Source organism: Homo sapiens, chromosome 15 (genome assembly GCF_000001405.40).
Source record: "Homo sapiens chromosome 15, GRCh38.p14 Primary Assembly".
Lineage (NCBI taxonomy): Eukaryota > Metazoa > Chordata > Mammalia > Primates > Hominidae > Homo > Homo sapiens.
This window is the reverse complement of record NC_000015.10, coordinates 88454655-88481690: the sequence shown is the minus strand read 5'-3', so window position 1 is coordinate 88481690 and position 27036 is coordinate 88454655. Positions and strand designations below refer to the sequence as shown.

The 27036-nt window shown below is 44.5% G+C and overlaps 2 protein-coding genes across 11 annotated transcripts, besides 2 other annotated features; one reads left to right on the top strand and one right to left on the bottom strand.

Annotated features, from left to right (window-relative positions):
• Positions 1–914: 914 nt before the first annotated feature.
• MRPS11 (mitochondrial ribosomal protein S11) lies at positions 915–13983 on the bottom strand. 10 transcript variants are annotated; one of them, NR_135918.2, is made up of 6 exons: positions 13909–13983; positions 13667–13783; positions 8966–9064; positions 6452–6519; positions 4637–4702; positions 915–3819 (listed from the first exon to the last, which is right to left on the bottom strand). NR_135918.2 is itself a non-coding variant. In NM_001321972.2 (6 exons), the coding sequence occupies exons 2-6, from the start codon at positions 12620–12622 to the stop codon at positions 3712–3714; spliced, it is 480 nt and encodes a 159-aa protein (NP_001308901.1). In that variant the 5' UTR covers positions 12623–13783; positions 13909–13983; the 3' UTR covers positions 915–3711. The 10 variants fall into 10 exon arrangements, 7 of the variants coding, with proteins under 7 accessions (NP_001308901.1, NP_073750.2, NP_001308899.1 ...); NR_135917.2 differs by having other exon boundaries at positions 6452–6581; positions 8966–9044; NM_001321972.2 differs by having other exon boundaries at positions 6452–6581; positions 12546–13783.
• Positions 14133–14302: an enhancer, noted in NCBI's record as "active region_10027". NCBI's record gives its function as "activates an Ori minimal core promoter by ATAC-STARR-seq in GM12878 lymphoblastoid cells {active_cell/tissue: GM12878}" and the evidence as "EXISTENCE:reporter gene assay evidence [ECO:0000049][PMID:35858748]".
• Positions 14303–22213, top strand: MRPL46 (mitochondrial ribosomal protein L46). The gene is made up of 4 exons (NM_022163.4): positions 14303–14541; positions 15918–16104; positions 16815–16988; positions 21828–22213. The coding sequence occupies exons 1-4, from the start codon at positions 14314–14316 to the stop codon at positions 22076–22078; spliced, it is 840 nt and encodes a 279-aa protein (NP_071446.2). The 5' UTR covers positions 14303–14313; the 3' UTR covers positions 22079–22213.
• Positions 14769–15968: an enhancer, noted in NCBI's record as "CDK7 strongly-dependent group 2 enhancer chr15:89008954-89010153 (GRCh37/hg19 assembly coordinates)". NCBI's record gives its function as "activates an origin of replication core promoter dependent on BRD2, BRD4, P300/CBP, MED14 and CDK7 cofactors, with strong dependence on CDK7, by STARR-seq in HCT116 cells {active_cell/tissue: HCT116}" and the evidence as "EXISTENCE:reporter gene assay evidence [ECO:0000049][PMID:35650434]".

Below are 27036 nucleotides of genomic sequence, written 5' to 3'. Positions count from 1 at the left end.
ACTCAGCCACATACCTGTCCTGCCTCCTCAGAGCGTGAACTCCAGAGTAGGGACAGCTCCAGCCCTGTTCCCCCAGTGCCTGGCCTCCATGTTTGTGGACTAGCCCATGTTGGCTTAATTTGGTGAATGGATAATTTCTGCTTTGGCAAGTGACAGCTTCATCACCTTAGGCTGATAGTACCCAGGTTTCAAAAGCAATGTGTCTTTCCAGAATAGGAGAAAAATGAGTAGAGAAAAAGAATAAAGTCCAGCAGGAAGGTATATATGCATTTTTTTTTTTTTTAAAGAGACATGTCAGAGCCTGGTTACAGGCAAATAGAGTTGGTAAATGCTTTCTCCCAAGGTGCCCGTGAAATTCTGCTAGCATTCAGGGACTCTAGTGGTAAACAGGCTTATTTTGGCAGTGACCGTACATCTCGGTGTCAGGTGATAGCCTTGGCAGAAAGATGTGAAAACGTCGCGTCTATGCTGAAAGGAAAGAAATTGCATCTGTTTTTTTGCTAGTGTAGGAGGACAGGCTTTCCTTATGTAGCCAGTCCTGTGCAGCCAGCCTTAGAAGCAAAGCTGCAGATGCATCCGTAGAAATAATCTGAGGCTCTGCTGCCAGAAGACAACAAAGTGTGTCACACAAGCTGATGCCAACACCCTGCTTGTGCAAATACTTGGGACCCACATGCTGGGCTTGCATCTTTCCGCCTGTGGGAAGTGCAAGCACACATTCCACCTGTTTTCTCAGGAAGGAGAGACCTGCTGTTTGAGATGGGCTGTGGCAGCAGGGACAGGGCAGTCCAGCATTTTAGGTAAATAATCACCGCCTAGATTGGTCAGCCTTCAGTGAAGGTACCTTGGTCTCTCATGGGGGTGGGAAGGTCAGTCTCTGAGAGGCCAAGACAAATGATTAAGAGACAGTACAGTTTAAGACAGCACCAGCTTTATTGGCCACTCAGAGCCTGGAAACCACACTGTGCACCGAGAGCTCACGATAAAGCAATGTGCATTTTCCAGTGCACAGTCAACAAGGCGGCCTCCCCAAAACTAGCTCCGGGGGTTGCGCCAGACATCCATTTCCGGCAACAAGACCATTGATCCTTAAGGGTCCTCTGTCCTGTCTGCGCATGTAGGCTCTGCTGGGCAGGATCTTCCTTTCCAAAGCCCTCTTGTGAGTAAAATAACATTTTAAAAACTATGGTGTGTGGATCAGGCGCAGTGGCTCACGCCTGTTATCCCAGCACTTTGGGAGGCCGAGGTGGGGGGACTGCTTGAGACCAGGAGTTCAAGACCTGGTCTCAATACAAAAAATACAAAAATTATCCATGTGTGGTGGCATGCGCCTGTAGTCCCAGATGCTCACAGGAGGCTGAAGCTGGAGGATCACTTGAGCCCAGGAGTTTGAGGCTGCAGTGAACCATGGTCGTACCACTGCAATCCAGCCTGGGTGACAACGAGACTCAAAAACCAAAACCAAAATAAAAACCTATGGTGTATGGAGGACTTACAGAAGCCACAGAAGCCTCCTGTGTTTACTATCCTCTACGTGCCCCTCCAGATCCACTCTGCAGCCTGGGAGGCTGAGCCTCCAAGTACCACAACACTGAGTTCCCTTCCTTTTTGCTTCCTTTTGGGATCAGCCAAGGGGGACCCCAGCAAGGGACTACAGGCCGGGAACAGCCAGGCATTTCTTCCCTCTCCCTCAGGCCATGGTTTTGGCAGAGGTGCACTCTGCTGCTGTGGCAGCTCCTGCCAGGTTCTAGGAACTGTTCTTCCCTGCCTCTTCTAGCCTAGGGTGGCAGCTGCTTTGTAGTCCACCTTCTTTATTTCCTTAATCTTACCCATGCCTCTGCAAAGAGCTTTCATTGAGCTTTTCTCTTAAACCTTGTGAGCTGTTTCCTGCTCAGACCCTGATTGAACTGTCTGATGGCTACGGGCCCTCTGTCCACCAAACCATATCAAATCGCGAAGTGCAATTTTCAAGTGCACCATGTTTTAATGCATTGTGTTTATATGTAGTTTTGCGGTGAAACAGTCTAATTCCTTCCGACAGTGGCTTTGATCCAAGAAGCCTCCGGTTGGGCTTCTTTGGTCACTGTCACAAGATGGCCTTCATAGGACCTGCTAAGGACTAAAGAGAAGGCAGTAGGGAGGCATTTTTCCTCTAAATTCATGTCTTGGTTCGTGATCTTCCTCCTTTCTTTGTCCTAACACAGCCTCTTGCCTATTTAAGGGGGCATCTGTGTCTTTTCCTATACTGAGTTCAGGCAGATCACAGTACTTAGCTGGCTGGACACAGAAGTAAAACTCCACAGTGCCTTCCCCTTCTGGTCAGCAGCCCTTCCTGCACTCATCTGGGAGGAACAGTGCTTTTGTGTACTTGACCACTCCTTCTCAGCTTCTGGTGATACTCTCACCCTTAGTCTTTGCCTGTGGAAGAGGGGACTCTCTGGTCGTGTCTCTAGAGCCCCCACCTTTGGCCTCTGTGCCGTATCCAGGAACCCTAGAGCCCCAACAGAGGAGCAGTCAGTCCTGCCTGGGGGTCCTGAGTTGTGCCCCACTGCCAGCACTACCCAGGTTCCTTATCAACTTGCTTTCTGCACTTCTAGATTTGGACTCTACTCAAGCCCATCCTGCCATCCACCCTATTTTCTAGAGAATCATCAGGTTTTTTTTTTTAATTTTTTTAAATTTTTATTTATATTTATTTATTTTTTTGAGACAGTCTCGCTGTCACCTGGGCTGGAGTGCAGTAGGATGATCTCAGCTCACTGCAGCCTCCACCTCCTGGGTTCAAGCGATTTTCATGCCTCAGCCTCCAGAGTAGCTGGGATTACAGGCGCACACCACCATGCCTGGTTAATTTTTGTATTTTTAGTAGAGAGGGGGTTTCACCATGTTGCCCAGGCTGGTCTCTAACTGGACTCAAGTGATCCACCCGCCTTGGCCTCCCAAAGTGCCAGGGTTACAGGTGTGAGCCACCGTGCCTGGCCAAGAATCATGTTTTGTACAACTCTACCCTCCCCGCTTTTAGGGCACTCTCTCGTTAGTGCTGGGACTGCTGAAGCCCATGGAGTGTAAACGATGACTGCCACTTTAGTGTGGGGAGTTTGACTGTCCACTTGTAGAAAATCCTGTGTTTAGGGCTAACTTTAAACATGCCCATAATGGCGAAATCCATCAGAATCCAGAGGTAGGTGGCAAAAAGCTCCAATTTGGGGCCAAATTATAAGTCATTAATAAGAAAAGTTACTAGGATTAGCTCTAGAAATCTTGGGTAAGGGGCTAGAAAAGAAATATCTGAAACCAGAAGTGTCTGGTAAATAGCAACTCACATTTATATTTTACTTTCATCTGAGGCCTCACCTCATTTCACACTCTCTTTTTCAAGAGGAATTAGGAATTACGTAACTCTGAAAGCAAAAAATCTCAAAATTATGACAGGTGGTACAGATATTTATTTTCTCAGAGCAGAGTTTGGGCCTAGGCCACGGCTGCCCCTGTAGCTCCCCTCTTGTAAGAGATGCAAAGCTTACTTCTGGGGCACACCCATCTCCAGCTGGAGGTGCAAGCAAAGGCCACTGTGTAAGGAGGCAAAACTCTCCCTTACTGCCTGAAGGATCTCCAACAAGCATATTCTGGAGAGCTCTGACAGGGAGCATTTTACAAGGTCCCACTGGAGCTGAGGCTTGAGGTCAGGTCCAAGTGCAGGCCTCCTTCCCATCACAGCTTCCGAGCCTTCCTGGGGCGGCAGCCGTTGTGTGGGATTGGGGTGTTGTCTGTGATTGAGATCACTTCCAGGCCGCCCATGATCAGTCCGTGCATGGCAGACTGGAAGGAACAGAAGGAAAAGTAGAATGACATGGTCCCAGAAATGATGATCCAGTGTCTCCAGGCAGGGTTCGGAGAGGGACAGGGTGGCGTAGAGAAGGGAACGGAGGGGTGAGATGCTCACTGGCTTTGATACCTATAATCCCAATCCTATTCTACTCTCACAAAGGTCTCCACCCAAACCCTTTAACCAGGTTTTCACACTGTTCCCCTCTCAAACTGTACCCACCACTTTCCACTTTGCACTTTACGATCTGCGAACAAAGACTTCTTGTAGACCTTGGCACACCTTGGGTATCATACTTCTGTAGCTTACTCAGGCAGTTTTCTCTGCCTGCAATGTCCCCCCGTACCTGCTGTGCCTCCACCTCCCTGATACCTCATTATTCCTGCAAAGTCAGAGAGATGTCACCTCTTTGAAGAAGCTAAAGATTATCTGTGCTAATGATCATCAGGAAAGATTATCCCTGCTAGGTTCGGGATCCCCTGATGGGCTCCCAGCGATCTGGGCACATGCTTTACCACAGCGCTCACCAGTCTGTCCTAAGGGATTTGTTTGTGACAGTTCCCCCAGGAACCACCTTCCCATTCCCAGTGCGTGGCACGCAGCAGGCACTCAGTGTCTGATGAATTATACTAAGTGATCTAGGCTTGCTCTGAGGGGCTTGGTCAATTATAGAAACAACAGACGGGAACTTCAAGCAAACATGGAAATCCACTAAAAGGTGTTTTCTACTCTCCCTGTACTCTGCTCTCAAGCCCCAAATTCTCACACTTACTAGGAGGCAAGTACACTATGGAAATCACTGTAACTTACCAAGCGTCCTGGCCCCAGGCCTTTCACCACAACTCGGATGTGGATCACGCCCTTTTGTTTAGCTCTCTGGAGAGAAGCAGAGTGGTTAGTGCCCCGGAGAGAGAACTACTGCATCCAAATCTCTTGCTACTGCCTCCTAGAGCAAGGGGTGTGTGAGCTCAGGGAAAGGGCATCCAGAGAAGTAAACAGGGAGGCAAAGGGCAGATGGCTATAGTGGAGGACAGGCGCCAGCAGAGACCACAGAATTTGGCAGGTTGCAGAATTCACGTGACTGTGATCTGTTTAGCCTAGGACAGCACCGCCACCTAATGGAAATTTCTAAATATTGCTCAGGTTTTTCTCAGGGGGGCAAATGCAGAATTTCAGACCATGAGGCGCCACCCTAGGCTTCAAGGCTGAACCTAAATACCCACTTTAAAAGTATTATCATTTAAAATCTCTAAGCAGTTAGAGTTAAAATTTACTTTCTTGATAATAAAGGCAGTTCATTATAAAAATGGGAAAATATACAGAAATCATTCATGACTCACCATGCAGAAGCCACTGTGAACAGTGACATACTTCTTTTCATAGTATATGATCTGTCCATGGTTGGGCATTTACAGCATTTTGATTTCTGATGATAGTACATGCAATCAATATTTTGGGGTGCCTTCCCTTGTTTGAAGGTCAAGGTTTTCCTTCAGGAAATACATCTGGTTTGGCAGAGTCTGAACATTTGTAAGGCCTGTACTATAGTAGAAATTGTGCAGGCTTTGGTCCCAGACCAATCTGGGTTCCGATCAGTGAACTGAATCGGTGCATGGCTCTGGGCAAGTCACACACTCTGAATCTCAATTGGCTTATGAAAATGTGGATAATACTGAGGGTCTCTGAAGATTCAAGATAATGAATGTAAAGTGTCTGGCACATGTAGATGCTCAATAACTATACCAATAGCAGCACCTTGCCAATTTGCTTCTAAAAAAGGTCTACGACAGTTCACACTGGAACTGGTATTGCTATTGCATGAGTCCCCACGATACTATGTCCTCTCCAAATAGACTATCATATCTCTCCCAACCCCAAACCACTGGTCTTTATTTTTATTTTTTTTCTTGAGATGGAGTCTCGCTCTGTCACCAGGCTGGAGTGCAGTGGTGTGATCTCGAGTCACTGCAACCTCCACCTCCTGGGTTCAAGTGATTCTCCTGCCTCAGCCTCCCGAGTACCTGGGACTACAGGCGCGCACCACCACGCCCAGCTAATTTTTCTATTTTTAGTAGAGATGGGGTTTCACCATGTTGGCCAGGATGGTCTCGATCTCTTACGCCTGCCTTGGCCTCCCAAAGTGCTGGGATTACAACTGTGAGCCATCGCGCCTGGCCTATTTTTAATTTATTTTGGAGACAGGGTCTCTCTCTGTTGCCCAGGCTTTAGTGCAGTGGTGAGATCATAGTTCACTGCAGCCTCAAACTCTTGGGCTCAAGCCATCCAGCCTCAGCCTCCCAAGTAGCTGGAACTACAGGCAGGTGCCACCAGACCTGGCTAACGGTTTTTAAATTGAGGGGTCTTTGGTTCTCAAGCCTTTGGTATCTTGGCTCTTACATCCTAGAATGAACCAACAAGGGCTTCACCTCTAATGAAGCTGAGAGAAAGAAAAAAGAGGAGCCTTTCACTAAACCTTTTCAAACCAATGCTCCAATCAGGGCATCAAAGCTGCCATGACAAACCCTTGCTTCTGAATGGGTAGTATAATGAGGATTCTCCACTCAGTGATGAGCCATGCAGAAAGCAAACACACACTAGAAGGAAGCAGAAGGAACACACACTTACCGCCGCTGCGGCTATGCCTGCTGTCTGTGCTGCGATGCCTGTGCCCTTCTTGGCATTCCGAAATCCCTCTGTGCCACAGGAAGCAAAGGCAAGGGGCTCATTACTAGCAGAGACTACCTGGATCTGTGTGCTGAGAAAAGTAGAAGAAGCACATAGGATACAACTCTTCTTCAGGGAAATAAGAGAGAGCTAATCTATGCCCCTAGAAGCCTGGGTGAGAAAGAAAAAGGAATTCAGTTGCTTCTACTTTGAGCTTCTCAGATGAACATGTTTTGAACTCCTACAGGAAGTATCAGGAAAGGTCAGAATTCTCCCCTAAACCTGACTGAAAACTGGTAAGTCACATAATTTAAAGAGCGCTCCATAATCTGAGAGTAGTTAGTTAAGTATCACCCAGAAAATGACTGTATTGGGGAAAGTTTTAAATATACACAAAAGTGAAGAGAATAACATAAGAAATCTGATGGACTCATCAACCAGCTTCAACAATTATCAACTCATATCCAATTCAGTTTCATCTATAAACCTTGTTCCCACCCCACTCCCCTCACCAATGGATTATTTTGAAGCAAATCCCAGACCTATCATTTTGTCTGTAAATATTTCAGTACATAGCTCTAAAAGAAGGACTCTTAAAAAAATATTAGCAATATTACCATATTGGCTACTTTTTTTTTTTTGAGATGGAGTTTTGCTCTTGTTGCCCAGGCTGGAGTGCAATGGCACGATCTTGGCTCACAGTAACCTCCGCCTCCCGGGTTCAAGTGATTCTTCTGCCTCAGCCTTCAGAGTAGCTGGGATTACAGGCGTGCACCACCATGCCTGGCTAATTTTGTATTTTTAGTAAAGACGGGGTTTCTCCATGTTGGGCAGGCCGGTCTTGAACTCCCGACCTCAGGTGATCTGCCCGCCTTGGCCTCCCAAAGTGTTGGGATTACAGGCATGAGCCACCTCGCCCGGCCTCATATTGGATACTTTTGATGCTTATGACACTATATTCCATGATCAAAAATTATTTTAAACAAGTAAAACTTTTCTCTTTTTTTCTTTTTTATTTTTTTGTGAGACAGGGTCTCACTCTGTTGCCCAGGCTGGAAGTGCAGTGGCACAATCATAGCTCACTGCAGCCTCCAACTCCTGGGCTCAAGCCATCCTCCCACCTCAGCCTCCCAAGTAGCTGGGACTACAGGTGCATGCCACCACGCCTGGCTAATTTTTGTATTTCTTTAGAGACTGGGTCTCACTATGTTGCCCAGGCTGGTCTTAAATTCCTGGCCTCAAGTGATCCTCCCAAAGTGCTGGGATTATAGGTGTGAGCCACTGCATCCACCCACAACTTTTTCTTAATCATCTCTAATAAGTTACTTATTAATACAATTAAGAATGCCTTAAGAAATCCTCAGATATGCTTTGATTTCCCCTTTAGTCATCATCATCCTATTTCTGGTCTGGAGAGCTCTGAGAGCTCACAGAAGGAGGCAGGAGAAGTGACTGAAGGGGAGGCCTGCTGGAGTCAGCCCCGGGCTTGGGCCATCCACTTGTTATCCTGGCTATGGCTCTGACATTCCCCCTACCAGAGCTTCTAGGGTTTTCCATATTGAATAGATGCGTAATTGCTTGTCTCTGTGACAGCCTAAACAGTGCTGTATAGAGTAGACCATAGACACTTAAATGCAGTTAGCCTATGTCCTTATTAGTCTGAGGGGAAGAAAAAGAAATCCAATTGCTGTCACTTTACATTTATCTGACAAATGCTGAAATGAATCCTATAGCATTTCATCTGTGCCACACACTTTAGCCCATGACTGTAGTCTCTTGTGCTGGTCTCTAAATTGCTGGGTGGGTTGGCTGTGACCAAATACTGATCTCATTTCCAAGTGGGGGCCAACCTGTAAAGTTGTCACTAATACCAGCAATGCTTCTGTTGGCAGCATATGTTTGGGAATTCCCTTGGCACTGTCCCCGTCTGTAAGCCACACAAGAACACTAGTCTTGTCACTTTAAACTCACCATCCACATTTAGCTCTACAAGGTGGAGGCCAGTGCACAGTGGCCCAGAGTGGTGAGTACTTTAAAGGGACAATATCTATTTAGAGGTCTAGATTCTGGTTAGTGTATTAATAAATCATATTAATATCTTGAATCATATCTTTTAATTTATATATCATCCATTCCCTACCAGCAACACTTAATAAACACCTTCATGGTGGGACCATATGCCCCTCATACACTCCTTCCAACTCTTGAGCAAAACCAGGAAACACTATTCTCAAGGAAAGCAAAGAATTCTTATAACTAGGATATGCCCACCCTATTTCACATTTTTATGAAACTTGTGTAAGATGGCAGGTGGTTCCTCAAGTGAGGAGGAAGACGGTGCCCTACATTAGCGCCATCATGCAGCACTTAGCACCCTCACTTCTACCCCGGGGTATTCAGGGCCAAGCCTGACTTTCCCTGTGAAGTGGAAAGAATCTCACGCTAGACCTGCCCAGTGTTTCCCTTCCCACTTACTTGTTGTGGGATGCTTTAATGTGTGCAATTGGGATCTCCTCAAATTTCTTTCCTGCCCACCTCAGAGAGCTCTCCTCTCCTGGAATGGGAGGGTAAATGCTGCAATTAGAAGAAAGATTTTATTTAAAATTGTCTCGACTTTTTAAAAATCAAAGAAATACAACACATGGTTAAAAAATAACAGCTCTGTGCCCCCTGCTGCTTCTTAAGTGGCTGCCCCCACCATTCCTTTTCAGTCCTTCTGGTGCCACCACCGCATGTGTGACTGCTGTGCTTATGATGCTGTTTCTTGACTTGCTGACTTCAGACACATCTGGGGACTTTCCGCTATGAGAAGGGATTTTCATGCATACTCCCCATCTTCCTTGTCCCTGCAGGTATACCCGTGTTCATTATTTTCAGATCCTTTGTAGGTTCCTCTTCCCACAATTTAAAAAATACAGTCAAACCTCTGTTTCTTATTTCATCAACCATAGACAATATCTGGACTCTACATTGCAAAAAATGAGACAAAAATAATACTCATATCATTACCATTAAAAAAAACCCAGAATCCCCTAGAATAAAGGACAGCAAACTTTTTCTGTAAAGGGCCAGATAGTAAATATACTGGGCTTTGCGGGCCAACAGGTCTCTGTCCCAATTACTAAACTCTTCCACTATATCCCAACAACAGGTACAGACAACAGTAAATTAATAGGCTGTGTTCCAATAAAACTTTACTTACAAAAACAGGCAATTGGCCAGATTTGCCCAGTCGACCATAGTTTGCCAACCTCTACCCTAGACCAGTGGTTTTCAATGCAGGCTGAACATCAGTCAGCTGTGAAGCATACAGATGTTTAAGCTTCACCCTGGACTTCTGGATGGGGTATGGAAATCAATGTTGCAAATGTCCCAATAGAATCAGATGTGAACACATTGTGTTGCGTTCAAGATCTTCCACTGTCTTAGTCCAAGCTGTCTTCTGGCTATTTCTAGCTAAGTTATCATCTAACTTATCATCTCTAATAAGTTAACTTATTAATACAATTAAGAATGCCTTAAGAAATCCTTAAGGAAAATAAGGATTTTTATTTTCAGATGGTGAAAATTAGGTACCAATAGGGAAATAGGGTTAGCAAGAGAAGCCAAGCCTTGGACCTAGTAGATCTGTCTCAGTCTAGAGCTTTGCTCACCAAGCTGTGCTTTTTAAAATTTGAACACACACAATCATCCTTCAGCAATGGAGCTGGAAATAAACTTGCTGTTCCTCTAGGCCTACACACATATATCAGATTCATGTTTGTACCCACCACAGCCACTTGAAATACAATAGACTCCATTTTAGAAATTATATTATAATCTAAGGACTACTCTCGCCCCAGCCCTACCTGCTTTTCTAGAGGTATTTTAAAAGGCAAATCAAAAACACATTGGTATTCAAAGTTTACAACTATATTCTTTCCTGTGGGTTTGACCTTAGAAGTGATTAGAACTGCCTCGCAATCATACAGCACATACCCTGTTCAATTATCCTTCCATTCTCCTAGATGACTCTTTTATAGCTTCTTTTGTCTCCTCTAACCTCCAACTCCCTGCTTCCTCATTGCTGAGCGGATGACCTCCACAGGGGAATAGAAGCAATCAGACTTTCTCCCAGCTCCCACTACTGAACATCTGTGCCCACAGCCTTTGCGCTCTCTCCTGTTACAGTGCTCCACTTGTGTATTAGCCCCTGAAGGACACTGTTCCCGCAATGTTCCCACTCCAGTATCACTTGTTTTTTCCCCTCTATACTGCACTGCTCCCAATGGCAAAACATATTGTTATGTTCCAAACTGAAAAAATAACAGAACAACCCTCGAAAACCTCTTGAACCCACCTCCTGGGAGCTATTGTCCATTTCTCTATTCCCTTATAGCAGAGCCCTCTTAAGGAACTTTAAGGTACTGACTATACTTGCTGTTTCTTCCTATCCTCTGCTTCTATTCTCCTTGAACCCATTTCAATCAGATATTAGCCTCTACCACTCCACCAAAAATGCTTTAATCCAACTAACTCCACATTACTAAATATAATAGGCAATTCTGTTATTGATCTAGCAACCTATCACATCAGCAGCATTTGACACAGCTGATCTCCCCACCTTGAGCCAAATTAAAAAACAAATGTTCTCTCCTGGTTTTCCTATTACCTCTCTGGAAGTTCCTTGTCTCTTCTGATGGTTCTTCCTAGTCTCCCAAATCTCTAAATGTGAAAGCGCCCCAGGGTTCAGTCCTTGGACCTCTTCTCTTCATCTACATTTATGGTATTAATGATTTTGTCATCTCATGGTTTTAAATATCATCTCTATGATGTCTCCCAACTGTATATCTCTAGCTAAAGTCTGAAGTCTGACTCTTGAACTCCATTTCTTTTTTTGCTTGTTTGTTTTTTTGAGATGGAGTCTCGTCCAGGCTGGACTGCAGTGGCACGATCTTGGCTCACTGCAACCTCCGTCTCCGGGGTTCAAGTGATTCTCCTGCCTCAGCGTCCTGGGTAGCTGGGATTATAGACCCACGCCACCACACCTGGCTAATTTTTGTATTTTTAGTAGAGACGGGGTTTCACCATGTTGGTCAGGTTGGTCTAAAATGCCTGACCCGGTGATCCGCCTGCCTCGGCCTCCCAAAGTGCTGGGATTACAGGTGTGAGCCACCGCGCCCGGCCCTTGAGCTCCATTTCTAATGGTCTACATTGTGTCTCCACTTGAATGTTTATTAAGAATCTCAACCTTAACAACTCCCATCCAAACTCCTGCAGTCTTCCCCATCTTAATCAATGACAACTCCGTCTTTCCAGTTGTTTAGGCCAACAAAATTTGGGGTCTTCCTTCGCTCCTTTTTCTCACACTGTATATTAACAAATCCTGCTTGTTCTACCTTCAAAATATGTCAGACCATTCATAATACCTCCATGGCAATAACCATGGTCCAAGCCACCATTGTTTCTTGTCTGGATTATTTCAATAGTCTTCTAACTGCTTAGAGGACTTTTCCCAGCTTCCATTCTTGCTCTCCAATGGTTTAATATCAACACAGCAGCCAAAGAGCTTACAAGATCTTGTCAGCAAGATCATGTCAACCCTTTATTCAGCAATTTCCATTGGCCTCCCATTTCATTCACAGTAAAAGCTGAAGTCCTCACAACGGCCTACAAAGTCCTACAGAATGTGGCTATGCAGGCCTGCTTGACCCCCACTTCCCCTTTCCAACCGTTATACTCCTACATTTTACTTGTTTTCTATTTACTGTCTTCTACCCACTGGAATTTAAGTTCTATGAGGGCAGGGCTTTTTGTCTGTTTGGTCAGGGATATATCCCCAACACTCTGAACAGTGCCTGGCATTGTTGAAGAAATGACTACAACAGAATCTTGGTTTAGATGCTTTCAGCAGCTCCTCACTGCCTTCAGTGGGGACAGCGTAAAAGCTCCAGTGTGACAGACAAGACCCCTGGCATTCTGATGCCTTCTTGTCTTGTTGGCCTCATCTGCCATCACATACACACCTGAACACACCATGTTTTTTCATACCACATGCCTTTACACAGATGGTTACCTTTGTCTCCAATGACCCACTTCAACTTGTCCAGATGAACTCCCATTCACTTCTGAGCTCCATGTTCTTTTCTCCATGGTCTTGCCTGATTTCCTCAGGAATGAGACACTTATTCTTTTTTTTTTTTTTTTTCTTTGAGACAGAGTCTCAATCTGTCACCCAGGCTGGAGTACAGTGGCGTGATCTTGGCTCACTGCAACCTCCGCTCCCTGGGTTCATGCGATTCTTCTACTTCAGCCTCCTGAGTGGCTGGGATTACAGGTGCCAGACATCACGCCTGGCTAGTTTTTGTGCTTTTAGTGGAGACGGGGTTTCGCCATGTTGGCCAGGCTGGTCTCGATCTCCTGACCTCAAGTAATTCGCCCACCTTGGCCGCCTAAAGTGCTGGGATTAAAGGCATGAGCTACTGCACCCGGCCAGGAGTTAGACACTTATGATTTCATACTTCCAACCAATGCTTACCTCCATTATATTATTGAGCAGATTATGGTTAAAATGTTTGCATGTTTGTCTTCCCTCAAAGACTGTGAACTACTTGTGGGGAGGAATGATCTTTTGTATCTGTATTCACGGCACCTAGCATGGTGTCTCACTCATAGTAGATTCTTGGTAAATGTTTGTTAAATGGATGTGAAGTTAAGTGGATGTGTATACAGCATACAGAGGTGGTGGCACTGGTGGGAAGCAAGATGCCAGTTCCTAGGGCTGAGCACAAAACCCACCCTGGACCATCCGTAAGACGTGCAGGAACATCTGTTCCATCGCTAGCGCCCTCTACCTCCCCATTTTGTTTTGGAGGCAGGGAAGGTTATTGGTCTGAAAAGATCTCCATCTCAGAAGAAAAGAACGCTGATACATGTTATGGATATCTCACATTCACTCATTGATTTAACGAATGTTCACTGAACATTTACTCTGTACCACGGCTCATCTGATTCTCACAACCTCTCTCAGCATTATCCGCATTTTTAGATGAGAAGGCTGAGGCTCAGATTTATTTGCATAAGGTCCCACGGATAGCAAGTGACATAGCTGAAAATTCACTGGTTCTGACTCTGGAGGGTGTCGGGCAAGAGTCAGGGGTTGCGGGTCTCCAGAGGGCTGGTCCAAGTGGGGCTCACCTGAACTTGGTGTGGCTGGGAGCCGCGTTCTGTTCAACTTTCTGCTTGGCCGCAGCGTCTTGGAGCTGTCGAGCGCCTGTGCAGATGGTCCCGGCCGGCGTTCTGGCCACGACCCTGCTGGGAAGAAAAGCTCGGTGAGGGCCACGGCCTAACGGTCACTGGGGCCCGGGTGGCTCAAGGGACACGAGTAGGAGCATAGTCCTGGAGGTGGCGGTGGGCTCGAGGGGGCAGTCATTTGTTACCCGGCTGTCTGGGGCCAAGTCCAGGACCGCAGGAACCGCGACCCCGCGTTTCTCACAGCCTGCATGACTTGAATTGACCCCAGTCAGTTTCCGTCTGCAGCGACAGTCACAGCTGCGCCGGCGCCGGTACCATGAGTGCCTGTCGGGGAGGGGACAGAAGGGAAAGTCATCTACTCTTCATTAGGTCCACTGAATATTTTTATTTCCATTTAAATGCTCAATAAGACTTTCACTGTAGTTCACCAGGGGATTCTTTCCCTTTTTTAATGTTCTGAGATGGTGGGTCACCCCCTCCATATGCGAATGGTTCGTTCTAGCAGTTCCGGGACTGAGCTTTCCCCTAGTTTGCCGCTCCCGCGGCTGAGGGATCCCTGGGAGCCGCGGTGCATTGTGGGAGAACGAAAGATGGCGGCGCCCGTAAGGCGGACGCTGTTAGGGGTGGCGGGGGGTTGGCGGCGGTTCGAGAGGCTCTGGGCCGGCAGTCTAAGCTCTCGCAGCCTGGCTCTTGCAGCCGCACCCTCAAGCAACGGATCCCCATGGCGCTTGTTGGGCGCGTTGTGCCTGCAGCGGCCACCTGTAGTCTCCAAGCCGTTGACCCCATTGCAGGAAGAGATGGCGTCTCTACTGCAGCAGGTGGGACTGAGATGCAGGGTTCAGAGTGACGTTTATTCTGCGTGACTTTGAGCGAGTAATTTCACCTCTCTGAACTTAAGTATACGGTACTTATCCGCAGAATGGTACCTACCTTACTGACTTGGTTTGGTACATAGATGTTCAACAAAAAGTGGTTTCTTTTCATTGGCCGTGTTTATTGTCACCTTAGACAACTCTTTGGAGATACTCTACTTCTTGTTCATGCAACACAATAGGGATCCTGTGGTGAACAAGAATCGGTCCGTGTCACTAGGAGCTTACAAGTCTGGAGGGAGAAAGTCTTTGTGATGTGATGAATGTTAAGAAGGAAATACAAGAGGCGGTGGGCACATCTGTCAGATGCCTATGATAAGCCTACTCTGTTTTATCTCATGGGGCTATCTGTGTGAGGGGCAAGTGAGGAAGCATGGGCAAAAACAGTGTAGTGGCTGTGAAGGTGTGAGGTCGCTACAGAAAGTGTTTGAAGGGTGATATGTTTCCTCAGAATCCGAGATGTTTTTGTCTTGGTCTGTTGAGAACTATAAACTTCTCTTCTGTGCTTTTTGCTTGATTTATTCATTTACTCGCTCGCTTGACAAATATTTGTTACTCAACCTACAGATGTTCATTGTGCCCATACTATGCATCAGAGAGTATGTTAAGTGATAGAGATGCTGTAATGAATAAGGCAGAAGTAGCTCTGGTTCTCAGAGTACTTCAGTCTAGTTGAGTGAGGGGATCAGTCAGTAACCAAATAATCATACAACTAAATGCAGACCCTGATAAGTGTTGTTAAGGAAAACACAAGGCACTATAAGAGTGTTTAACAAATACATCACATTTTGATTTTATGGTGAGTGTCAAGGAATGCCTCAGACTTTCTGAATACAGGTTTTTCTCTTTATGAGAAATGTCTCTCTGAGACAGTCATATTTAAATTGAAATCAGAAAGATGAGTAGGACTCTCCCAGAAGAAAGAATGTGAGGAAAAACATTCTAGGAAGAAGGAACAACCTCTTGAAAGTCCCTGAACAGGAAAGTCCTTGGTGAGTGAGATTCTGATCAAAGACTGACATGACTGGATTGTGGTGAGTCAGCAGGCATTGCCCAACCCAGCTCTCTGTTTTTGTAGCACTCTTGACCCCCAGTGACATTGTAACATTTTTGGCAAATGTAACTCAAGCCCAAAGTTCAGAGGACCTTTTTTTCCCTCCATTTCCTTTCTGCATGGTGTTTTGACTGTGTATCTGGTTATGTTGGGTGATAAACTTCTGAGCTTGCCAAGTGTGCCATGTCTCTGTTTTATTCTTCCTGTTTTTTTTTTCCTTTTAATTTTGCCAGATTAAGGTAGTTTTTTGCCCTTTGAATTTTCCCAGATTGAGATAGAGAGAAGCCTGTATTCAGACCACGAGCTTCGTGCTCTGGATGAAAACCAGCGACTGGCAAAGAAGAAAGCTGACCTTCATGATGAAGAAGATGAACAGGATATATTGCTGGCGCAAGATTTGGAAGATATGTGGGAGCAGAAATTTCTACAGTTCAAACTTGGAGCTCGCATAACAGGTTGTGATCCTTTTAGGCCAGCCAGAAGGAAGGGAAAAGGGGTATTTGGATTCCCAAATAAAAGACAGTTGCTTGGCCCCTGCTTTGTGTTTTAAGTAACAAATAATTTCATATTCTTTTCTTTGTTGCTCACATCTACCATAATACGACTTAAAAAGTCTGTCTTATTTTCGGGTGAGAGGTAAGGGTATTGGAATAGCCTTTTCTCTCAGTTAAACTTTGTGAATGTTATCTGTGTTTAACTCCAAGTTTGAGACTGAGAGTGGGGCAAATGAAGCCTTTTTCCACTAATTCCTGTGTTTTATGTGAAATCCCTCTTAAAGCGGGAGATTGAGTTCTGTTTTCCTTGTTTCACAGATGAAGACTGAAGAACAGAGAAAGTAGGGGCTAGTTAAGTCAGTAATAGTATCAAAACCAATGAAGTAGTTGTGTTTGAATTAGTATGATCATTGTTTCTTTTTTGAAGACTCAAAATATGGTTTGCTGTTCAAAGAAGCTTACCTCTTGATTTCTTACCTTTTAGTTTCCTCAAGATTGTGAGACTCTTCCCTGGAAGAGGTCAGAGTTAGAGAGATGGGTCGAGGTGTAATTTGGTTCTAAGCTCTTTGAGGGCAAGGATTGTGGATCTTAAAGGAAGATTGTAAAACTCCAGGTTTCTTGGTTCTGGCAGATCACAGTCTTCTTACCTCCTCTGACCCCCTTTGCTGTAGAAGCTGATGAAAAGAATGACCGAACATCCCTGAACAGGAAGCTAGACAGGAACCTTGTCCTGTTAGTCAGAGAGAAGTTTGGAGACCAGGATGTTTGGATACTGCCCCAGGCAGAGTGGCAGCCTGGGGAGACCCTTCGAGGAACAGCTGAACGAACCCTGGCCACACTCTCAGGTGGGTTTTCTGCCTTCCTCTAAATTCCACAAAATTCACTTCAGACTCAGCCAGAGGATTTTTAGGCTGACTGGGGAATTGGATTAAGGGTGGGGGTGGGAAGGTTAATGGAAATTTTGAAGTTTATAAAAATTTCAGCCAGAAAAACCCAGGTAAGGATTTTTTTTATTTTTTTTTTATTTTTATTTTTAGACCAGGTGAGAATCCTTTGTTCCACTGAGATTTTAAAATTTAGTACATTCAAAATTGATATTTCTACCATTTTCTCAGCCTGCTTGTCTTCTTATCTTTGCAGCACTGCTTATTGCCATCACTGCTTATCTGTTCACTCAACTTGAAACCTCAGAATTGTCCTTGACCTCATTCCCACATCCATAAGTCCTTGAGTCCCTCGTGATCTGTTCTAAATAGTCCCCTCTTTGTTCTAACAGCTTTAGCTGTGACCCTCTTCACTTCTCACTAGACTAGGGTTTCCCATCTCTGGCATTATTGGTGTTTGGGGTCGGATAAGTGTGGGGAGCTATTCTTTGTGTTATAGGATGTTTAGCAGTATCTCTGGCCTGTACCTACTAGATGCCAGTAGCACTACCTCATCCCCTGACCCCACCCCCAGTGCAGTAACCAAAAATATCTCTAGACATGGCCAGATATTTCCCAGGGAGCAAATTACAGTGGTTGAGAAGTACTATACTGAGCTATTGAATTAGATGCCCAGTAAGTTTAACCTTGGTTTTGTGGAGTGCCCTTCAGTGCTGCCAAAATGAGCTTTCTGAAACACACATCCCTTGTCACTTCTCTGCATGGAATTCTTAAAAGGTTTCCAATAAAAATTCTAACTGTCAAGCATGGCCTGCAAATCTTATTTGCCCTGATCCCAGTCTCATCAGTCTGCCGTCTTGCTGTTCATTAATGTAAAATTCAAGTTCTAACTTAACAAACCTTTTGCATTCCTTGAATAGTATGGTCTTTCATGTGTCTCTGCTTTGGGGCCTGCTGGTCCCTGATGAAATACTTTACTCCTTCCTGGCCTGACTGCTCAGTTTTTAAGACAGTTTATACATTATACCGTATGTGGTGAAACCTTTCCTGAGCCTTCAGGAAGACAGAGCTACTCCTCTCTCTAGGCTCCCGTAGCACTGGTGTGTGTCCTTATTCCATTTATGCAACAGACATATAGGGTCTCAGTGATGAACAGGACACTACCCTACTCCCTAGGAGCTTGTGTTCTAGTGGAGAATACATTCTTTCACTTATGCCATTGCACTATAATTGTTTACTAACACATTTTTCTCCCTAGTCAGAATTTTGACTTCCTTAAACATGTGGGCAGTATCTGTTCCTCTCTCTGATCCTAGCTTTCAGCAAAGTACCTGGCACATAGGCATTTGTTGAATGTTGACTAAATGGATTTGGTGGTGCACAGCCACTTTACCTGCCCTCCCATCAGCACAAGTACCTGCTAACGAAATGTCGGTAGCCAGTGTGTGTTCCCTTGACTCTCCCAAGGGGCCTGTGTGGCCTGCAGGAGAGACATCAAGACAGAATGGAATATGGTAGGAGAGGAGGTTGCTGCTTTCTCAGTCTCCTCAGCCATCACATAGGAGTCAGCAGCTGAGTTTCTTGCGAGGATCATTGTGTCCAGATGCTCAACGTCTCTTAACGTCAAACATTCACAACTGATCCTTGCTCAGCTCCCCTTTCTGTTTGCAGTGAGGAAAGGGGTTCTACCCAAGCACTATGCTTTCCTTTAAACATTGCCATTGTAATAAGTAAATGTAAAAGGAAATATATCAAATATATTAAAACACATATTTATGTTTAATAGATGCATATAAAATAGTGTATTGACTTATTACAAATTTACTAAACTGACAAATAATATAAAATGGCAAAGAAAAACTCAAGCAATGTAAGAGTATATACTGTATATTTAAAAAGTGAAAGTGCGCTCCTTTCCTCCCCTCTGGCTCCACACTGCCAGTATTTCTGCAAGATGGAATTTCTAGCGGTAGAATTAATGGGTCAAAGATGTGCACACTTCAGTTTTTGGTAAGTGCAGCCCAGTTGCCCTCCAGAATGTATATAACAATTGACGTTTTCCAGGAGTGGTGTCTGAGAGTGCCTCTTTGTCTAAACCTCACTGACACATGAAATAGTTGCTTTTAAAATTTTGCTCGTCTAGTGAGTCAGATGATCTCTTTCAGATTAGCATTTTCCTGTTTGCTAGTGAGATTCAGTATCTTCATGTGTTTATTGGCTGTTTGTACTTCTTCTTTTGTGAACTGCCTATTTAGATCGTTCGCTCATCTTTGTAATAAGCTGTTTTTTCTTTTTAATTTGTTTATATTTTTAATCCATCTTTTCCAGATTATAGAAAAGTAACATGCATTTATGGGATTAAGTTTAGAAAATTCAGGAAAGTGTAAAGAAATATGCCAATACAATTCCACCACTCACAGATACCCACTGCTAACGTTTTTTACTTTATGTGAGCTCACACTATCTATAAATTTTTCATCTAATGCTAGGTAGTGTTTTTTTTTTTTAGTATGAGAAAAGCCATTCACGTATGTGGTAAAAAAATTATCGGTGTCTCGTAAATGTAGTGTAAGATGTAATTTTCCTTTTTCAGAAGCAACCTCTATTAATAGTGTTTTTCTGTATCTCTTCAGAAATTCTCTATGCATATACAGATGCATAAATGTTTTGTTTTCTTTTTTTGCATATAACGGGAACATGTTTATACACTGTTGTGTGCCTTCCTTTTTTCTCATATACGCTTTTAAACATCTTTTCAGGTCAGCCTATTAAGACCTATCTTAAGCTTTTTTTAACACCAGCATACTATTTTATAATATGTATGTACTGCAGTTTGTTTAGCCAGTCTGTTTTTACAAACAAAGCTGCAGTGAATATCCTTGTATGCTCATCTTTGCTCACATGGGCAAATTAGTATATCTGGTAGGATAAAAGTCTAGAACTGGAGTTGCTAGGTCAAAGGGCATGTGCAATTAAGTTGACACCTCTTGCCAATTAATAGCACTTATACTAATTTATAACCCCTCCAAAATATGTGTGAAAGTACAGGTTTTTTCCTTATCCTTCATAAGCAGAGTACAGTTAAGTTTTTGAACTTCAATAATGATATATGTTGTTGTTTAACTTTATTTCTTTAAATTATTAATAAGTTTGAACACCTTTTAATGTATTTATGGGCCAGTGATATTTATTTTCATGTGAGCTTAACTGTTCATGTGCTTGGTTCATTTTTCTTTTTAATTTGTTGTTTTTTTTCCTCATTGATTTTTTTTCCTTTAGAGATGGAATCTTGCTATGTTGCCCAGGCTGGCCTTAAACTCCTATTCTCAAGCAGTACTCCTGCCTCAGCTTCCTGAGTATCTGCATTGATTTTTAAGTGCTTCTTATACCTTAAGATATTCCTTTGTTGAACGTGTTGAAAATATTTTTCCTAGTTTGTCATTTTGTCTTTGACTTTTTTTGTGCTTCATTTTTCCTTGCAGAAAGATTTAATTTTTATGTAGACAAATATAAATCTTTTGTTTTTTGGGCTTAAAAATTTTGTTTCTTGCTTAGAAAGGCCTTGCCCTCTCAAATAATATCTTAAGGTTTAAGAAAGCATCCTGCATTTTCTTCTAATGCTCATGTGTTTTTATTGTAATTAGAAAATATGCCCTGCACTTTGGGAGGCCGAGGTAGGCGGATCACTTGAGGCCACAAGTTCAAGACCAGCCTGACCAACATGGCAAAACCCCGTCTGTACTAAAAATACAGAAAAAAAATTAGCTGAGTGTGGTGGCACATGCCTGTAATCCCAGCTACTCAGGAGGCTGAGGCATGAGAATCCTTTGAACCCAGGAGCCTGAGGTGGTAGTGAACCAAGATTGCACGACTGCACTCCAGCCTGGGTGACAAAGCGAGACTCTGTCTTGGGAAAAAAAAAATACAGAGAAGATTGGAAAATATTAAATGTCCATGAAACAACCATCCAGAATGAATAAATTTTTTATGAAAAGTTAAAATGTCTATTGTTAAATCTTTGATCTATATGGTATCAATTTTATTGTGAGGACTGAGTATGGAATCCAGCTTGGTTTTTCCCATCTGGCTAATCAGTTCTTCAGATGCCGTTTAGTAATTAGTCCATCATTTCCCCATCATTTGAAATGCTGAATTGGGGTTGTTAACCCTTAGTTATAGATTACAGATACTGTCTACTCATCTGTTTTTGTCTTTAACTTGGTTTATGCCTTTTTTCACTAGGTAGGAGTTAAAACTGGGGTCCTTTTTAATGCTTTCCAGGTGACACCCATTTTAAAGGTGGATGAACTTTGTTTTACAGACCAAATGTCCTCGTCCTTCACCAGCAGATAGCGACTGGGCTGATTCACCAACAGTTAGCGACTGGGCTGATTCGCCAACAGATAGCGACTGGGCTGATTCGCCAGCAGATAGCGACTGGGCTGATTCGCCAGCATAGCGACTGGGCTGATTCGCCAGCAGATAGCGACTGGGCTGAATGTAGGAACTAGGTGCTCTGACTCCCAGGTGTGATTGTAACTGTGTTGCTGACTTTCAGTCTAAAAACAGTAGCTTGGCACATGGGAGTGAGCCTGGTGAATCTGGACTCCATGGGCCAGGAGGCATTTGGATTGAGAGGGGAGGAGCCTCTTTTCAGGAATGGCTCTAGTCCTATTCCTAGGGATTGATTTTACCTCAGGGCCAGATCTTGCAGGGACCCCCTATAATTTTGGGAGCCAGAGTAAACAGATGGCTGTATCCTTACCTTCCAATTGTGATTTTTCTTTCCTCCCTCTTCAGAAAACAACATGGAAGCCAAGTTCCTAGGAAATGCACCCTGTGGGCACTACACATTCAAGTTCCCCCAGGCAATGCGGACAGAGAGTAACCTCGGAGCCAAGGTGTTCTTCTTCAAAGCACTGCTATTAACTGGAGACTTTTCCCAGGCTGGGAATAAGGGCCATCATGTGTGGGTCACTAAGGATGAGCTGGGTGACTATTTGAAACCAAAATACCTGGCCCAAGTTAGGAGGTTTGTTTCAGACCTCTGATGGGCCGAGCTGCCTGTGGACGGTGCTCAGACAAGTCTGGGATTAGAGCCTCAAGGACATTGTGTGATTGCCTCACATTTGCAGGTAATATCAAGCAGCAAACTAAATTCTGAGAAATAAACGAGTCTATTACTGTGTTGGTCTCAGCTGATTTGCCCTTTGATGGCCCAGTGAAGAGAGCCATCTCTTAGGGTGTCTTTCCATTTTTTTCCCAAGGTGATCACTGAGTACTGGATTATATTACAGTGCGTCACTGAGTTACTGGGCCCAGGAAGAAAGGACAGAAGGAAATGAATTGACTTCCCGAAAGCCTTGAATTCTGTGAAAGCTTCTCTAGGCCCTTGGGAAAAAACTAGTTCTATATAGTTTCTTAGCCATTTCCAGTTTGTTTTTCCTTCCCTCTGCACTTGATATGAAGGTGTTTTAATCTAGCCTGGGAAATAATCCTTCCTTCTTTCCCCCCCTTCCTAAAAGCATTTTATTTTAAAAAGAATTGAGTTATGTCTTAACCTTTTTTGAAACAGTCATGTGAAATGTGCAGTTAGTTTATCTCCATTCTACAGATGGAGGAATCACGGCCAGGTTGTGACTTAGCCCAGAGTCATACTGCATGTGCCTGTTGGTGCTAGAGGAGAATGCTGACCCCAATGCCCCTCACCTCTGGGGCTCTTGGCTCTTCAGTGTGTTGTTTGGGTCCTCACTGGTCCCCAGTGCCTGGCACATACGAGGCACTCAGTAAACATTTGTTAAGTGAGTGGCAGAGCATGGGGAACTCAGGCATACCTTTGTCTGCCCAGAATAGTGGTTTTAGTCTGCAGTCCTGGATTCCCATCAGATGCTTCCTGGTTTCGTCTCAGACGGCCTGGGTTAAACAGGCTGTGAGCACATGAGATGGGATTTCTGTTTCTGCATCAGCTGCAGCCTTGTGTTCTTGCCCAGGGTCAGGGAAATTGCTTTCTTAATCAAAATTGAGGGGCCTAGGCCTGATACTCCTCTGCTAACCTTTTTCCTCCTGCATGTGTGCTCTCCCCTGCATGACTGAGGGGAGATGTCTCCTGGCATAGGCTTGCTGATGGTGAGCTGTAGTGGCGCCTTTGTAGTGAAGCCTGGGCACAGCCACAGGGCCAGGATGCACTTTCTGGGTTTTGGAGTGACTTGTGTGTGAACTGTATTGCATATTCTTAGGGCCACGGGCACCTCTGACCTAGAAGGGAAGGAATCACCAGAGTGAAGTGACTATTTTCGTGACCGTGCATGTCTGTAACAACATTGTTTTTTTGGTGAGAAATAGCATATGTGCAATTGGGAAATAGAGAAATGGTGTCAGAATGACCCAAAGTTAAGTTAGATTTTTCTGCAGAACATTAATGTTTTTAAATGATCAGGGACAAGATTGAATAGCTTAAGAAAAAAGCTGAAAATTTTCTAGAAGCACCTTCCTTTATTGCAAGTAGGGGCTGGTTTAGTAACTTCTAGAAGCACTGCTAGCCTTTCCATGATGTTCAGCTCTCAGGGGAAACTGTGAGTGGAATGGAAGAAGCTGTGAAGACACCTCACCCACCTTGTTTTAAAAAATTGATGAAGAAGGCCCTGTCCTGGATCACAGTTTTAATTTTGATGGAATGCATCTCTGCTAAGATTACATATCAAAGAACCTACATCTCAGGAAGCAGTATAAGCCCCAGGATTTAAGGCTGCTGGGGACTGGTGTACAGGTGGTGGGGGTACTGCATTAGCATCATCATTAGGCTTCATTCTCTTTTGTTATTGCTCTGGTTACAGAATTCCATAGGTTTTGAGTGGTCTGCCCCAACCCCCTTTTCTGTTATTTTTGGAGTGTGATATTGCAGAATGCAAGATTTTTAGCATTATAGTATAAATAACTATATTTGCTGAGTGCCAGCTTGAATCTTCTACCGGCTGGCAAACATGACCAAAAAATTGTTTCTAGTGTATCCTTTGGGGGAAGATTGCCAGGGAACAAAATAAGATGCTATGTTCTCAGTGTGGGAGGACAGCGTAATGTGTGTGGTGCTGTGGGGATTAGGAGTTCCAGTTTGAAGTGTGTTTGTACAACCTAAGAAGAGAAATGCCTCTGTGTGTGTGTGTGTGTGTGTGTGTGTGTGTGTGTGTGTAACATGTACAACAGACCACCCAGTTCACTGAAAGGATCCTTCAGTTGTTAAGGTTTAGCCTTCGCCTCTTGGTCATTGTTTTCCCAAATGATTTCTGGTCTCCTTGTTTTCACCTTTGCTGGTTCTACAGAGAAAATACTGCCCTGCTTACAAACTTGTTTTCCTGGTAACTTATTTTCAAGGGTTACTTCCTGCTGGGCCATTTCTATGCCTTGTATGTGCTTCTACACTTAACACTTTATAGGATAATTAGTTGTTAATCTGGCTCCTATACAGGTCAAATATCCCTTATCTGAAATGCTTGGGAGCAGAAGTGTTTTCAGATTTCAGGTTTTTTTGGATTTTGGGATATTTGCATTATACATAATGAGATATCTTGGGAATGGGACCCAAATCTAAACATGAAATTCATTTATGTTTTATATACATCTTATACACAGATTACCCGAAGGTAATTTTATACAATATTTTAAATAATTTTGTGCATGAAACAAAATTTGTGTTAAGTACTTGATGTGTGGAGTTTTCCACCTGTGGTGTCATTGAGGCCCTCAAAAAGTTTTGGAGTTTGGAGCCTTTTGGATTTTGGGGTTAGGAATGTTCATCCGTACCTACTGGGCTTCAGAAACTGTGTGCAGATTAGCTCCTTTCCCCATGAGCACTGGACTTGGGGTCAGAAAACCTGGATTTGAGTTTTTATGACCTCAGTTAAGTTACTGTTACTGTTGATGACAGCGTAGTGACTCCTGAGTGCCAAGAGCCTTGTGAGTGCCCTTACTTACAAGCTACGTTGTTATTTAAACCAGCAGGGCAGGCATCTTTATCCCTATTTTATACATGAGAAATAAACTCAAGTTAGTTAGCTTACTTAGAGTTACTTCCTAGTAAGAAGTGGGGCCAGAATTCGAACCTAGACCTGTATACAAAGGTAGTTCTTAACTTTTCTTAACTTTACCTTTCTCATCTATAAAATGAAGATGATACTTCTTCTCAGGTAATGTGGTAAGTTATGCGAGAGTACTTAGCACCATGTGTGGCTTGTTATAAACACTCAGCAAATGTTTCCCTCCTTCCAACATACTTAGGCTCCTGAATTCTGCTCCTTCATTTAGCTGTAACATCTTTAGCTTTTACAACTCCCATTCTCACCTTTTCTAAGTTATACATTGTGGCAACCAAGCATTTCTGACCTATTTGGAAAGGGATGTGAGTAACTTGGACATTAATGGTTTCCATCCATTAATGCCACACACAATGGATGTATGGCAGGTAAGTCCCATAGCCAGCCTCATCCAGCTGGTTGGGCATGTTAGCTCTGTCCCACCCTGGGCCAGGAAATCCAGAGCCACTGTTAGGCACAGGCTTATGGGCACTAAAAACAGAAAGGATTTGCTGACCCGTTCTATTACCCCAACAGGGGAAAAGGAGTGCCGCTGAAAGGTCAGCAACCCAATTATTGAAAGCTCACAGATCGCTAAGCTTCAAACACACATAGCAAGATAAAGCCTGTTTGCCTGAAATCTCAGGGTAGCCTCAGCCCCTACCCTTCTCCGCTTTATTTTCTAGAAGCACATCGAGCCTGGATTATGGCCAGTTACTTTAGGCTATCAGTCGCCTTTCACCTGTCTTGGCATTTTGGTGCTTAAAACAGGAAGCGAAGGAGGAAAGTGTTCTCTCTGTGGTCAGAATAGGTGCTGTTAAAGGCTCAGGAATAGGTCCAGATAGCTGAATCACTGCTGTAGCTGAGGGGCTGGGGCTGGAAGGTCCCCTGCAAGTCAGGAGATAGGCACTGCCAGGGAGGGTCTTACTAGCCTAGAGCAAGACATAGGTGCACATGTGCACGCATACATCCCAGCTACCCTACTAAGCCACTCTGAAGTGGGCCTGAGAAGCCGGCCCCAGGTTTTATTCAGAGGCTTTGGCAGTACAAACAGAGCATTGATTGCCCAAGTGTCAGATACCAGGCCCCAAGTAGCTGCTGAGTGGCTAAGGTGGGTGGGGGAGAGAGACTCCCAGGTTCTCCTTTGGCCCAGTAGGGGAAAACTGTCCTAATGTAGTCAGATGAGGGCACTGAGGCTAGGGCTTTTGGGAATGACAGGGCTAATAGACAAAGTTGAGAACACCCTGGGCCTAAGGGGATTGGGACACACCTCCAGGTCAGAAAGCCTTGGGGTAGATCAGGCTGAGAAAAGGAGAGAGAGGATATCCCCAGACCGAGAAACCAGATGGCAGCCCAGAGTGGAAGGCGGGGCTTTATGACAGCTGGAGCGGGCTCATACGCATGAGCACCACAAGGTGGCAGGGTTTGCCTGGCATCTGCTCTTCCAGAAGTAGGCTGTCTCTGGAAACCTTCACGAAACCTGGAAACCTTCTGGAAACCTGCCTGGCCTTAGGCTGCTGCCCTTGGAGAAGCTTCGTATCTCAGGCTGAGCAGAGTCCCCAGCACCCAGTCTCCTGGGGTTAAGCAGCAGCCAGAAGCTTGCTGGCAGCCAACCAGGACAGATGTGGGGCACTCATGGCCATCCACCCCCATGCATCAGCTCCAGGGAGTGTCACAGATGGACGCCATGCCCTTGGGAGGGGAGGGCACCCAGACTGCCATGTGTTAGGACCACTTCATGTAGCCTTGTGCTAGGCCTGCATGTCCACAACATAATCTGACTCACCTAAGAATTACGTTGGTCTTGTGTGGCATTTTTAGATCCATAGACAAGCTTGGAGAGGGGAGGAGACCCTGTGAAGGTCTCAGTCAATGCTTGGTAGAGCCAGGATTTGAACCCAGAGCTATGTGATTCTAAAGCCATCCATTGTCCCATGCTGCCT

Coding starts and splice junctions, on each gene's coding strand:
- MRPS11 (NM_022839.5), bottom strand. CDS start 13,973: ATGCAGGCTGTGAGAAACGCGGGGTCGCGGTTCCTGCGGTCCTGGACT. Junction 6,582..8,965: donor ATTAAAGCATCCCACAACAA/GTAAGTGGGAAG, acceptor TACTTTTCTCAG/CACACAGATCCAGGTAGTCT. Junction 4,703..6,451: donor CAGGCATAGCCGCAGCGGCG/GTAAGTGTGTGT, acceptor GCTTCTCTCCAG/AGAGCTAAACAAAAGGGCGT.
- MRPL46 (NM_022163.4), top strand. CDS start 14,314: ATGGCGGCGCCCGTAAGGCGGACGCTGTTAGGGGTGGCGGGGGGTTGG. Junction 14,542..15,917: donor TGGCGTCTCTACTGCAGCAG/GTGGGACTGAGA, acceptor GAATTTTCCCAG/ATTGAGATAGAGAGAAGCCT. Junction 16,105..16,814: donor ACTTGGAGCTCGCATAACAG/GTTGTGATCCTT, acceptor CCTTTGCTGTAG/AAGCTGATGAAAAGAATGAC.